This window comes from Homo sapiens, chromosome 2 (assembly GCF_000001405.40).
Source record: "Homo sapiens chromosome 2, GRCh38.p14 Primary Assembly".
Classification (NCBI taxonomy): domain Eukaryota; kingdom Metazoa; phylum Chordata; class Mammalia; order Primates; family Hominidae; genus Homo; species Homo sapiens.
In genome coordinates, this window is record NC_000002.12 from 97,943,003 (window position 1) to 97,958,962 (window position 15,960).

At 36.7% G+C, this 15,960-nt stretch overlaps 1 protein-coding gene across 7 annotated transcripts in view, besides 1 other annotated feature; it reads right to left on the reverse strand.

The window, feature by feature from the left end:
- The window catches only part of TMEM131 (transmembrane protein 131), a 239,613-nt gene that overhangs the window by 186,667 nt on the left and 36,986 nt on the right, over positions 1-15,960 (reverse strand). The gene's annotated exons all lie outside the window — the stretch shown is intronic.
- Positions 14,833-14,912: an enhancer, noted in NCBI's record as "active region_16247". NCBI's record gives its function as "activates an Ori minimal core promoter by ATAC-STARR-seq in GM12878 lymphoblastoid cells {active_cell/tissue: GM12878}" and the evidence as "EXISTENCE:reporter gene assay evidence [ECO:0000049][PMID:35858748]".

A 15,960-nucleotide genomic window follows, 5' to 3' on the forward strand; every position in this document is an offset into this window, starting at 1 on the left:
AAAAGAAAGAAAAGAAAAGAAAAGAAAAGAAAAGAAAAGAAAGAAAGAAAGAAAGAAAGAAAGAAAGAAAGAAAGAAAGAAAGAAAGAAAGAAAGAAAGAGCTGGGTGTGGTGGTGCATGCCTGTATTCCCACTACTCAGGAGGCTGAGGCAGAAAGATTGCTTAAACCCAGAAGTCTGAAGTGACAGCGAGCTATGACTGTACCACTGCATTCCAGCCTGGGCAACAAGGCAAGACCCTGTCTCTAAAAAAATTTAAGTAACAAAAATTTTAAAACTCAAGAGAAAACATCACGTTCCAAATTATTATATGAAGCAATTCATACCCTGATACATAAATCAGACACGGTCATCACAAGAAAAGAAAACTACAGATGTTCTTATGAATGTGGATATAAAAATTCTCAACAAAATACAAGCAAATCATATCTAGAAACATATACAAAGGATTATACATCTCGAACAAGTACAAGACTTGTACACTGTGAACTACAAAGCATCACTGAAAAAAATTTTAAAAGACCTAAATAGAAAGATATCTGGTATTCATAAGCTAGAATACTTAATAATGTTAAAATGGTAATATTCAGATCCAACGCAATCTTGTCAAAATCTCACCTTGCTCTTTTGCAAATCGACAAGTGGCTCCTGAAGTTCATAAGAATATTCAAGAATAGCCAAAACAGTTTTGAAAAAGAAAGACACAATGGAGGACTCAAAACTTCCCGATTTCAAAACTTAACTACAAAGGTATATTAATCAAGACAGAACAGTACTGGAATAAAGATAAACCTTATCAAGGTTGGGCACAGTGGCTCACGTCTGTAATTCCAGCACTTTGGGAGGCCGAGGCAGGCAGATCATGAGGTCAAGAGATCAAGACCATCCTGGCCAACATGCTGAAACCCCATCTCTACTAAAAATACAAAAATTAGCTGGGCATGGTGGTGCGCGCCTGTAGTCGCAGCTACCTGGGAGGCTGAGGCAGGAGAATTGCTTGAACCTGGGAGGCAGAGGTGGCAGTGAGCCAAGATTGCGCCACTGCACTCCAGCCTGGCGACAGAGCAAGACTCAGACTAAAAATAAAAATAAATAAATAAATAAAAGATAAACCTAATCAAATAGATCAAACAGAATAGAACTGACAGTCCAGAAACAAACCCTCGCATTTATGGCCAATTGATTTCGGCACTCAATTGATGAATGCCAAGATAACTCAGAGGAGAAAAGAACAATCTTCTCAACAACTGGCACTGGAATAACTAGGTATCTGCTTGGAAAAGAATGAGGACGGACCCTGCCTAACAACATATGCAAAAATTAAATCCAGAAGGAACAAAGACCTCAGTGTAAGAGATAAAGCTATAAAACTTTTGAAGATAACATAGATGTAAATCTTCATAACCTCTGATGAGGCAATGGTTTCTTAACTAGAATAGGTAAGCAAAGACAACACAGATAAATTAGACTTTATCAAAATTAAAACAGTTTGTGCTTCAAAGGGCACTATCAATAAAGTGAAAAGACAACCCACAGGATGGGAGAAAATTTCTGCAAATGATGTATCTGATAAGAGATACATACAGAGAATATAAAAAGAACTCTTGCAATGAATAAAAGACAAACCTCCCAATCAAAAAATGGACAAGGAAACTGACTAGACATTTCTCCAAAGATACATAAACGGACAATAATACATACATACACGAAAAGACGCTCAAAACCAGTCCTTAGACAGATGTTAATCAAAAGCAAAACAACATACTGCTTCAAAAACAAAAGGATGGCTGTAATAAAAAAGACAACAATAAGCATTGATGAGGATGTGGAGACATCGAAAACGCCTAAGTCGCTGGTGGTAACATAAAATGGAGCAGCCACACTGGAAAACAGTTGGGTAGTTATTAAAAAAACTAAATATAAAGTTACCATACAATATACCAATTATACTCTTATGTATATACATAAGAAAACCGAAAATACTTGTGCAAACAAAAACTTATATACCAGTGTTCATAATAGCATTGTTCAAATTCATGATAGTCAAAAATGAAAACAACCTAAATGTCCACTGACTAATGAGCAGTTAACAAAATGTGGTAAATCCATTTAATGGAGTATTTTTCAGCCACAACAAAAAGGAATGAAGTACTGACACAAAGCTCACAGATGAATCTTGAGGACTAATGCTAAGTGAAAGCAGCCAGATACAAAAGGCCATATATTTTAGTATTCCATTTATAGGAAACGTCCAGAATAGGCAAAAAGAACCTAGATTAGCAGTTGTCAGGGGCTGGGAAGGAATAGGGTGTGACTCCTATTGTATAAAGGATTTCTTTTGGGGTGATGGAAATATTTTGGAATGAGACAGTTGTGATGGTTGTACAAGTCTATGAGTATACTTCAAAAACCCACTGAATTATACACTTTAAAAGGTGAAGTATGATATGAGAAATTGTATCTCAATATTTTAAAAGTCAACAACAGCAAAAAGCATGCTTTTGTGTTCTATTCCCTAAATCTTTTCTAAAATGTTTATCTAAATGGTATTTTAAATATTGTGTAACCAGAGGACAAAATGTAATCTCTGCTCAAGAGCTTTAAGCTTATAGTTCTTTCATGGATACAAATTCATTCATTAGATTGTGCACGGGGAGGAGAAAACAGCAAATGATAAAGCAAATGGGTCAAACTGTCAACAGCAGGTGAATCTGGGTAAAGAATATGAATGTTTTTGACTATTTTCATTCTTAAAAATTTTCTGAAAGTTTGAATATATGCCAAAAATTTGAAAAAAGAAAACCACTACTGTAAGACTTCTAAAAATCTCAACGTTTGAACACATTCACTCTTTTAAAAAGATATACATCAAGCAATTGTAAATTCACTTAAATTATGCTAAGTTGGAAATACTGATTACAGAGGAGGTTGGTATCCTTACTGTAGCCACAGATTAAATGTGCCAAGAACATGCTGCTGACATGTCTGTGACTACAGTGGTATTATAGCCATCTTAAAACACTCAGTGGTATTACAACCATCTTAAAACACTCAGTTAAAATGATGCTTATGCCAACACAGCTATTGTGCAGGGATTTTATCTTGCATTACATCTTGTAATATAATATTTATGATTGGAAATATGGTATATCCATACAGTTATCTATATTGCATACTCATATATAATCTATAAGATCACATTCTAAATATTAGATAAGTAATCCATATCTTGTTTTTTAATAAAAAAAGAAAAGAAATAATAAAGAATATAAATCAATAAAGTAGAAAGCAGAAAATAGAGAAAAATCGAAGGAAACAAAAGTTTTCTGTTTGGGAAGATTAACAAAATTGATAAACATCTAGCTAGTCAGTTTGAAAAAAGAGAAGCCAGGTATTGTGAACATAAGAAATGAGAGACTGAATACGACTATACTTTCTATAAACATTAGAAGACTAATCAGCAAATATAATTAACAACTCTCAGTTTATGATACGGACAAATTCCTTCAAAGACTCAAAATACCAAAGGTCACTCACAAAAAACTAGCTAACTTGAATAGGCTTATATGTACTTAAGAAACTTATTTTGTAGTTAAAATCTTCTCACAAAGATAACTCCAGGATTAGATGTATTTAACGATGAGTTCTCCCAAATATTTAAGGGGAAAAAAAAAATCATACGCAAACTCTCCCAGAAACAGGAGAAACTCTCCAAACTCATTTTACAAAGCCAGCATCACTCTGATCCCCAAAACAAATAAGGGTATTAAAACAAAAAAACTACAGACCAATTTCACATCTTATTACAGATGCAAAAATTCTTGTCAAAATTTCAGCAAATGTAATCCATTAATGTATAAAAAAGATAAAAACATCATGACCAAGTGGGATTTATCCCAGGAATGAAATACTGTTTAAATATTCAAAAAAAAAACTTCAACATATAAGACTTAAAAAACAAAATTAATCATTTCAAAAAACAGACAAAAAACATTGGACAAAATTCATCATCCATTCATGGTAAAAGATCTTGGCAAAATGGGCACAAAAAGAACTTCCTTAAGCTGATAAAAGACATGTACAAAAGATATACAGCTATCATCATACTTAATGGTGAAAGACTAAATACTTTCCATTTAAGATTAGAACAAGGTAAGATTGTTCCTTCTCACCACTCCTATTTAACATCATAGTGAAAGAATAAATGAAGGTAAGAGGGCAATCTTCGTGCCAATAAAACGCAAAGAAAAAAAAAGTATGTAGACTGGAAAAGAGAAAATAAAACTGTCTTTAGACACAGACATGATATCTCCTATAACACCTATAAAAATTCTACTAGAATTTTTTTGATTCTGGTACAATTTTTACAGGTGATACAGGATATAGGAAAGTAGTAAGATTAGGAAAGTAGGAAAATGCAAGGCCAACATATAAAAATCAATCATATTTCTAATAACAGCAAGGAACAACTGGAAAATAAAAATCAAAACCATTTACAATTGCATCAAAATACTAAGATAAATATTTGACAAAATACAGCTGGAAGAAATTAAAGAACACCTAAATAAAAAGAAAGATATACCATGTTCATGCATCAAAAGAACCAATATTGTTACAGCAATTTTCCCCAAATTGATCTAGACAGTCAATACAATTCCAATCAAGTTTTTTGTTGTAAAAATTTACAAGATGATTCTAAAAGTTATACAGAAAAGCAAAGGACCCAAAATAGTAAAAAGAATTTTGAAAAAGAAGAACAAGATTGGAGGACTCAACATTGCCTGATTTAAGACTTAAAATCATAGTAATCAAGATGGTATAAAACTGACACAGATAACAGATGTGTGAAATAGAACAGAGACTCCAAAAGTAGACCCCCACATATATGGTCAACTGATTGCAACAGGGTGCCAAGGCAATTCAATTGGGGAAAAGTAATCTTTTCAATAAGTCATGCTGGTACAAATGAATAGCCACATGGGAAAGAAAAACAAAAGAGAATCTGGATGCTCCAAAATTTACAAAAATCAACTTGAAATGAATAACAGAATTTATGTAAGAGCTAAAATTCTAAAGTTCCTAGAAATCAACACGGGAAAATTTTAGTGATCTTGAGTTTGGCAAAGATATTCTTAAGTAGGATACAAAAAAGAAAAAAATCTTGAACTATAAAAGAAAAAAAGATGAATTGAGAGGTGGATTAAAAATTTTTTTTTTAGCTTTTACTCCTCAAAAGACACTGTTACAAAAGTAAAAATACAAGCCACAGACTGGAAATAATATTTGCAAAATGCTTATCTGACAAAGGACTTGTATCCAGAATATGTAAATAACTGTTACAACTAAATAAGAAAACAAACAGCTCAATTTAAAAAAATGCAAAAAAGATGTGAACAGACATTTAAGCAAAGACAACATGAATAGCACATGAAATAAGAGGGCACATGAAAAGATGCTCAAAATCCTTAGTCATTAGGAAAATAAAAATTAAAACACCAGGAGACACCACTACATAACCAATAAAATGATTAAGATGAAAACTTCTTACCATATCAGGTGTTGGCAAGGATGTGCAGGAAGTGGAACTGTAATACCCTGCTAACGGGAATATAAAATGGTGCAACCACTTTGGATAACATGTCAGTAGTTTCTTTTTTTTTTATTTATTTTTTTTGAGACGGAGCCTCGCGCTGTCGCCCAGGCTGGAGTGCAGTGGTGTGATCTCGGCTCACTGCAAGCTCCGCCTTCCAGGTCCAAGCCATTCTCCTGCCTCAGCCTCCTAAGTAGCTGGGACTACAGGCACCCGCCACCACGCCCGGCTAATTTTTTGTATTTTTAGTAGAGATGGGGTTTCACCATGTTAGCCAGGATGGTCTCGATCTCCTGACCTCGTGATCTGCCCGTCTCGGCCTCCCAAAGTGCTGGGATTACAGGCGTGAGCCACCGTGCCAGGCCAGTAGTTTCTGAAAAAGTTGAACACATAACCCACCAGACATTCCATTTCTAGGTATTTGCCCAACTGAAATGAAACGTATGTGTGAATGAAAATGAAAGACTTGTACATGAATATTTAGGGAAGCTTTATTTGTAATAGTTCAAAAGAGGAAACAACTCACATTCCCATCAACGGGTGGGTGGATAAACAAATTGTGATACAGCAACACAGTGGAATACTATGCAGTACTAAAACAGTCAAACATGCAACATTACAGACAAATCTAAAAATAATCATGCTGAGTGAAAGAAGGGAGACAACAGAAGAGTAAATACTGTATGATTCTGCTTATACAAAGTTGTATAATATGCAAACTAATCTAAGTGACAGAAAGCAGAAGAACTGTCGCCTGGGATTAGGAAGGGAGGTAAGAAAATTCTACAAAGGGTCACAAGGAAATAGAGAGTGCACACGTTCACACAATCTTCACTATGGTAATAGTTTCACATGGGCCATAACTCAAACTGTACACTTTAAATGTGTGCAGTTTATTGTACATTAATTATACCTCAATAAATCTGTTTATTAAAAGTCAAGGCCAGGCGTGGTGGCTCACGCCTGTAATCCCAGCACTTTGGGAGGCCGAGGCGGGTGGATCACAAGGTCAGGAGATCGAGCCATCCTGGCTAACATGGTGAAACCTCGTCTCTACTGAAAAAAAAAATACAAAAAAATTAGCTGGGCGTGGTGGCGGGCACCTGTAATCCCAGCTACTCGGGAGGGTGAGGCAGAAGAATGGCATGAACCTGGGAGGCAGCGCTTGCAGTGAGCCGAGACCATGCCACCGCACTCCAGCCTGGGCGACAGAGTGAGACTGTCTCAAAAAAAAAAAAAAAAAAAAAAGTCAGTATTTATTTTTACACCCCACACAGGGCTTGCTTCTTTTGGTTACTTTTATACAATAGCTTCTGAAGGATTCCAAATCATCATCTCACATCAACTACATGAAGGCCTTACTCCAAAATTGCAACCATTTTCCTTGCCTTATTTCTTGTACCTGCAAACCCAAAGGCCTATCATTACTAAATCCTCCTTCTGAGAAACACATCACTATGTTTTGTGAGGATGATGGCTACCAATCTCATTACGTGTCTTTCTTACAGAATATCCAAAATTTCAGCACAAGACAAAAAATAAAAATACATCTATACATATAGATACCTTATCAAGCCAATATTTAACCACTTCATTAAAGCAGTGAATGGAAAAAAGTATTTCCCCATGAAAAGTGTTCGCAAGGCTTTATAGTCTACATTTTCGTCTGTATGATAGTTAAAATCATTAACTATAATCAAATACATACATATATAAAGATTTAAAAAGCTACGTACCTAAGATGTGTGTGCTCTACTGATTATAAGCTATGTTTCAATTTAAAAACAGTCAAAGTTTGAAGATAGCAGTGCTGTGTTTCATGGACATTCCACCTTTCCTCTCCCTGACTGTCCTTGTGGCTTCTGTAGCCCTAGTCCTCTCTCCAGTATGCCATGATCCTAATGTCCCTACACTTGCTTCTCCCCCTGCTAGCAGCTCTACACTCTGTGGCAAAGAGCATCAGGACAGGGTCTCTTTACCGGATATTCCCCTTCAGGCAGCAACAGACTGGGAGAGCAGTTAACATCACTGACTTAGAAATAATTTTTTTTTTTTAATTACGGGTTTCTCAGAAATCATGTAGAAGTTGAATGAGTTCAGAGCCAGAACTAGGGCATGGGTCTGCTGATTCCAAGACTCCAATATCTACCACATCTGCATTCTGGTTTATCAGCTCAAGATTCCAGTCTAGTTTCTCAACACTGTGGAATGAAAAACTGCTCAGCCATCAACTTGTAACCAAAGATGACTAATATTTTAGCCAATAAGGATTAAAAGGAGGAAAACGAGCTTAGTTTCCAGGTACTAATATCCTTTTAATAGCCTAAATTTGCAGTAAAGAAAGTACAATAAGCTGGAAATAGCCAACAAACCAAGAGGAACTCATTTCCTACAGAACACATGCACTGTTAATTTTAGGGATTTACCAGAGTTGCACATTTTAAAGTTAAAATGATAGAACCAGAGAACAGAAGCAGAGAGCAGAATAAGTCAACAGTTCACTGATGGTGCAGACTCACATTCAGCACAACCAGACATATTGTAACAGGAAAAAAAAAATCCCTTTAAGTGAAAATAAGGATTTAAGGAAGTTAGAAAAACATGGAGTCAGTTAGGTTTGGTGTGTAGGTTCTGGTCTACTTTTGTAGTCTGTAGTTCCAAAGACAATTGAGTTTTGTAAGCCCCTGTGATGGTAATATGTGTCTGCTTCATTCTTCTAGCTCTGCTGGAGCTCCCACTGGATAGCTTCTGGTGCCACACAGCGGGGTGGAAGGCACATCCTCAGGCTGCACAGTATGATTAGGCCAGTGGGTAGGGGACTGCCAGACCTGAGGGGTGAATAAGAGCATTTCCCGTGGCTTGTTCTACAGTCACCTCACTGGTAAGCTTCTCACTCTATCTCTGCTGGGCCACTGTTGTGGGCAGACTAGGCCTGCTACTGCCACTGGGTAAAATGTCTCATTGGCAAGTCCCTCCTGGGCTTCCCTTTTCCTGATCCTTTGGCCAGAGAGGACAGGGTTTTCTGTTTTTTGTTTTTGTTGCTGTTTATGCCTGTTGGCAATTTCAAGTTGTACTCCACTCCAGTCTGGGATACACGGGGGAAAAACACAAACACGCATACACACCACACCGCCCCAACACACATGCATGGAAATTACTCCAGTCCAGTGTGTTTCAAGTCCTAACGTCCCCTAGCCAGTCCACCCGCTTTCCACCTTTTAGAGTCCTTTAATACCATACAGGATCAGTGAACTTGAAGACAGATCTAAAGAAGTGTTCAATTTCGGCCAGGCGCAGTGGCTCACACCTGTAATCCCAGCATTATGGGAGGCCAAGGCGGGCAGATCACGAGATCAGGAGTTCAAGACCAGCCTGACCAACATGGTGAAACCCCATCTCTACTAAAAATACAAAAATTAGCCAGGTGTGGTGGCGCACGCCTGTAATCCCAGCTACTTGGGAGACTGAGGCAGGAGAATCGCTTGAACCCGGGAGGCGGAGGGTGCAGTGAGCCAAGATCACGCCACTGCACTCCAGCCTGGGTGACAGAGCGAGACTCCATCTCCAAAAAAAAAAAAAAGAATTGTTCAGTCTGAACAGCTGCAGAAAAAGTAGGCTGAAACAAAAAAATGAACAAAGCCTCAGGGACCTCCAGGGCAATAATGAAAAATCTAACATTAGGAGAGGAGAAAAAATGTGACGCTGAGGGAGGATTTGAAAAATTAATACAGGAAAACTTCCCAAATTTGGTGAAAGACATAAACTTACAGAGCGAATTCCAGATAGGATAAACCCAAAGAAATTCATATCAAGACACATCACAAACTTCTGAAAACTAAAGACAAAAAGTCTTAAAAGGAACCAAGAAAAATGACACATTACCTATACTAGAACACCAATTCGAATTGGTGTTCAGTCTGAAACCATGAAAGTGCAAAAGGAGTGGCATATTTCTTAAATGCTGAAATATAAGAACTGAAACATAAGTACTGTCAATTGTGTGGGCCCAGCACGGTAGCTCATGCCTACAACCCCAGCACTTTGGGAGGCCGAGGCGGGAGGGCCACTTGAGCCCAGGAGCTCGAGACCAGCCTGGGCAACACAGTGAGACTACATCACTACAAAAAAATTTTAAAAATTAGCTGGGCATGGTGCTGTGCATATGTAGTTCCAGCTACTCAGGAGGCTGAGGTGGGAGGATTGCTTGAGCCCAGGAGGTCAAGCTGCAGTGAGCCATGATTGTGCCACTCACTGTACTCCTACCTGGGTGACAGAGTGAAACCCTGTCTCATTAAAACAAAAACAAAACAAACAAAAAACAACAGAAAACTGTTAATTATGAATGCTATAACCAGCAAAGCTATCCTTCAAAAAAGAAGGTAACATAAAGGTATTAGCAAATTAAAAATTTTGTCACTACCAAGCCTACGCTTAAAGAAGGTCTAAAGGAGTATCTTCAAAAAGAAAGAAAATAATAAAAGGCAGCTTGGAATTTCATAAAGGAAACAAGAGCAAAGGAAGGGGTAAATATAAGAGACCATCCTTTTCCATCAAGTTTCTTAAATCATACTGACGGTTAAAACAAACTTAACATCTGCTGTGCTCAATGTATGGAAATGAAATAACTTCAGAAAAGTGCATTTTAAAAAACAGAGAAGGCAAAGAGACCTTAATGAAAGTCAGACAAAACCCAACTACATACCGTCTAATAAAACTTATTTCAAACACATCAGTTTTACATAAAAGGTCGTTAAAAGATATATCATGCTAACATTATTTTTTAAAAACAGGTATGGCTATGTTAACACAGATAAGGTAGATTTCAGAGGAAAGAAAATTACTAGAGACAAAGACATTACATAACGATACTTTAAAAATCAATCCATCAATAAAAAAATACTGCTCCTAAAAGTAAATGCACCAAACAACAGAGTTGCAAAATAATAAAACAAAAACTGATAAAGCTAAATTACAGGTGGAGATTTCAACACTTCACTGTCAGCAACTGGTAGAACTAAAAGAAAATTAGCAAAGACAGAAAAGAACTGAACAACAATCAACCAACAGGATCTAAAAGACATCTCCAGAACACTCCACCCTACAACAGAATATTCATTCCCTTTAAGCTACCGTGGACCATGCACCAGGACAGACCATACCCTGGGTCATAAAACAAACCCCAACTATTTTAAAATAATTAAAATTATTCCATTTTCCAACTATAATGCTGGTGAACCTTAAGTTCATATGATTTCCAATCACAATGTAATCAGACTAGAAATCAGTAACAGAAACATAACACAAAAATCTTCAAACACTTCTGTATACCACATGTCTAAACAAATCATTGGCCAAAAAGCAATAGAACAGCAAAAAATACATATACGTAAATAAAAATAAAAACGCAAAATATCAAAAAACAGTTCTGACCGAAACACTTATGTCACAGTGACGCTTATATTAGAAAAGAGGAAATGGTCTCACATTAATAATCTCTGTCCCCTACTTTAAGAAACTAGAAAAAGTAGAGCAAAATAAATTCAAAGCAAGTAGAATGAAAATTATAAAAACAAGAGCAGAAACCAATGAAATTGAAAACAGGAAAATAACAACAACAAAAATCAATGAAATCAAATACTGGTTCTCTGAAAAATAATCAAAACTGAAAAGGCTCTAGCAAGACTGACAAAAAGGTGAAGACACAAAGCACAACCATCAGGAATGAAACAAGGGATAGCTTCATACTATAGCCATTAGAAGATTACTAAGGGCATAGAATGAATAACTTTATGCTCATAAATTTGACAACTTTGAAAATACGGACCAATTCCTCAAAAACCACAAACTACCAAAGCTCAACCAAGATGAAGGAAATGGCCTGCATATACCCATAACCATTAAAGACAGTGAATTTGTGAAGAGAAAGATCTCAGCCGGGCGCAGTGGCTCACGCCTGTAATCCCAGCACTTTGGGAGGCCAAGGCGGGTGGATCACCTGAGGTCAGGAGTTCGAGACCAGCCTTACCAACATGGTGAAAACCCATCTCTACTAAAAATACAAAAAATTAGCTGGGCGTGGTGGCGTGCGCCTGTAGTTCCAGCTACTCAGGAGGCTGAGGTAGGAGAATTGCTTGAACCCGGGAGGCAGAGGTTGCAGTCAGCTGAGATCACGGCATTGCACTTCAGCCTGGGAGACAAGAGTGAAACTCCATCTCAAAAAAAAAAAAAAAAAAAAAAACTAAAAAAGAGAAAGATCTCCAAAAAAGAAATTCCCAGGCCAAAATGGCTTTACTGGAAAATTTTACCAAACATTTTAAAAAGAATTAGGGCCAATTTTACATAATCTAGTTTAAAAAAACAAAGAACATTTCCCAACTCATCTAATGAAGCTAGTGTATTACTCTTGACATCAAAGCTAGACAAAACCATTGCAAAATTTTTTTAAAACTATAGACCACTATTCCTTATTAAGTTAGATGCAAAAACCCTCAAACAAATACCAGCAAACTGAATCTAGTAATATAGAAAAAGGACTACACACCATAAGCAGAATTTATCCGAAATATGCAAGACTGAATCAACATTTGAAAAAAAATTAATGGAATCAAATATACTAATAAATAACAAAATCATATGATCATGTCAATTGATGCAAAAAAAATCATTTGACAAAATCCAACATCTCATCATGATACAAATTCTCACTAAAATAGGAACAAACTGGAACTTCCTTTACTTGACAAAGAGCATCTGCAAAAATCTATACCTTAATGGTGAAAGAATGGTTTTCCCCTAAGACTGGGAAAAGGTGATCCACAACTTTTTTTCAGCACAGTACTAGAAATTCTAAGATACTGCAATAAGGCAAGGAAAATAAAATGCATACAGATCAGGAAGGAAGAATAAAATTGTCCGTATTGGCAAATGATACGATCGTTTACATGGAAAATCCAAAGGAACCTGTGAAAATCATCTAAAACTTCTAGAATAAGTAAGTTCAGCAAGGAAGCAGGATATAAGATTAACACACAAAAATCAATAACATTTCTATATACTAACAATGAACATATGGAAACCAAAAAGTTAAAAACAAGACACTATATACTAACAATGAACATATGGAAACCAAAAAATAAAAAACAAAACACCATTTACAATCACTCTGGAAAGTGAAATACTTGCAATCACTCCGGAAAGTGAAAGCTATGTACAGGATCTATATACTAAAAAATTTTAAATGCTGATTAAAAAAAGAAAACCTAAATAAATGAACATATATAATAGAGTACTTAACACAGGAAAAATGTCAATTCTCCCCAAATTAATATACAGGTTTAATGCAATTCCTATCAATATCTCAGCAACATATTTCATACACACAAACTAGCTTATTCTAAAATTTGCATGCAAAGGTACACACCCTAAAATAGTCAAAACAATCTTGAGAAATAAGGAAAAAGTGACAGAAATTACTTTCCCCAATATTAAGGTAGAGTAAGAGTAAGGGTAGTATTATTCTAGTAATAGAGTACCTGAGAGAGTGTGACATTGCCAAAATGACATGCACAGACTAATGGAATAGAACAGATGACCCAGAAAGAGAGCCACACAAATATGCCCAATTGATTTTGATACAAGTATGAAAATAATCCACTGGAGGAATTTTTTCAATTTTCAATAAATGGTGCTAGAGCAACTGGACATCCACAAGCCAAAAAGTGCCAAATATTTTTGTATCTCGGAACCAACTTGCTAAATGGAAATGTGAAATAGTTACAATGGCCCATCAGATAATTTCTTGATTATACAGAGAACAATTATATTTTTACTCCATTCTTTAACTCATGTGGTATTGATCTCCTATTACTTTGATCAAAGTTTCAGGGTACAAATTAAAATTTCGATTTTTTTTCAAGGAAAGTTTATAAATAACAGGTCATACTCCAAAGTGGTAAAAGAAAAAAAAGACTTAAAGTTTGGAAAATTTTCTTGGGCATAGTAGTAACTGGGGTAAAAAGAGAAAAATTTATGTCAAAGTGAGAATGTGTTATATATATTTAAAAATATTTCTCTTTTTTCATTAAGTAGTGTAAACTAGATTTTTTTTTTACTACTAAACATGACTTTTGTAAATACATGGTCCAAAAATTTTATTCTCTATTAGTCTTTAATAGTTTATTCTCCATCTCTGACATAAATTTTAAGTTAAAAAATTATCCAACAGCGGCTGGGCACGGTGGCTCACGGCTGTAATCCCAGCAGTTTGGGAGGCCGAGGCAGGCAATCACCTGAGGTCAGGAGTTTGAGACCAGCCTGGCCAACATGGTGAAACCCCATCTGTACTAAAAATACAAAAATTAGCCGGTGTGGTGGCATGTGCCTGTAGTCCCAGCTATTCAGGAGGCAGAGGCAGGAGAATAGCTTGAACCCGGGAGGCGGAGGTTGCAGTAAGCCGAGATCGCGCCACTGCACTCCAGGCTGGGCGACAGCGTGAGACTCCGTCTCAAAAAAAAAAAAAAAAGTTATCCTACAGCAATAATTTTTAAAATGAAGTTAAATGTTTGAATAAATGTGAGACTTTGTTCACATTTATTCCAAAAGGAAAAAAATTGAAAGACACCAAATTTGGCAACTTCTAAGCACAATAATGTTTACATAAAAACAAAAAGCAAAGAAACAAAAATTTTGTTGTGCCTGGTACTTAATGATTTACATAAACTAAATTTTAGCATTACTATGAATTTTAGTTTATTATTTTTAAAATTTATTTAGTCACATGTTTTACTTTTGACTACATACATATGAAACAACATTATATATTTTATTTTTCCCCCTCTAGTAACCAGGCACAAATTTTAATGTACTTCTAGTCTGTCCTGGCTTGCTTTGAAATTCAAGGGATACTATTTTGGTGCTGACCACTGACTATAAACAGAAAGTACCAGCTAACTCATAGGATGGGGAGAGGCAAGGTTATTTCATGATCTCATTGTGGGATGAGGCAAACCTAAACTTAAAAAAAGAAACAAGTTACCTCTTCAAGACATTAGTTTAAAAAAAAAAATGTGCTCAAGTGTTAGAACTTCTATTCCAAAGGACAAAAGTTTCCTGTTTTGAAAACATGCGGGAAAGCTTATACCTGCTGGCATGGCTGCCAAGTATGTTGACAAATAATGAAAGTTTCAAAACTAGGCCTCTGAAATACAATTAGCTAATGTCATAGTAGGTGCCTTGATTATTCCAAAAAAAAAAAGATAACTTTTAACTAAAAGCTACTGCACATAACCACAGTGCTAACGGCTAAGGCTGGACCTCCTCAAGGAACTCATACACTGAGATGAGACACAGACGAATAAATCAAGTACTGGGTGCTCCAGGTGCACTGAAACCACCAAATTCAGCCACAAGGGTTTATGGAGTGGTTACGTCTGAAGGAAGAGTCAGGTGAACACGGAGGTTAAGGTAGGGCATTCCTACCAGAAAGCACAACAGTGCAAAGGAATTTGAGGTATGAAAAATCATGGTTCTTTAAGAAGATAAGTCATTTCATAGGTCTGAAATCTGGGGAGCATTGAAGAGAATTAAGAAGAGGCTGGAGAGGGGGGCAGAAGCTGAGCCACCATCCACACCAAACCCTGGAAGTTGTGTGCTATTTTTCCCATTTTCCAGTAATTTGCCCAAGGTCAAACTTCTGGCAAGTGGCAGAGATGAGAGGACAGATCAGGTCTGCATCTCTACAAAGCTCAAGCTCAGGCTGTCTCTCAACGACCTTCCAATACTTAGAATAATCTCCCAACAGGTGCAGCTTCCTGAAGACAGAGAAAGCCCATGGTGAAGTAGAACAGTAACAAACCCTGAAACCAATCATTAAAGTAGCTGTTCTCAAAGTGGAGTTCTTGGACCACTGCATTAAAATGCCTTGGTACTCAGCAAAAGGTAGATTCTGGGCCTACATTCAGACATACTGAATCGCATTCTCTGAGACTGAGCCTGGGAGTCTGCATTTTATGATACCCACAAGCTTTGAAGGCTGGTGATTTAAATGCCTGTTACGCCTAGGGCAAGTGACCAGATTTGAAGGGGCATATGAAGAAAGGAAAGGCTTAATTCAACTTCAGATAAATGGGATCTGAGTTAACAATGAGCTATGCAAGGAAAAATGCTGAAGCAGGCAGTTCCAAGACAGTACTTGAACTTGGGGAAAGGGACACCAACAGAGGGACGAAACTGAAGCTCTCAGCTTTCAAAAATCAAGGAAGAAATGGTAGAGGGCTGAGCTCTGCAACTTATTACGGGCAGAACCTCCCTCCAGCAGCAGTGGAGCACTGACAGTGGAGGTTTATGAGCAAGAGGAACAGAAGAGGGCATGTG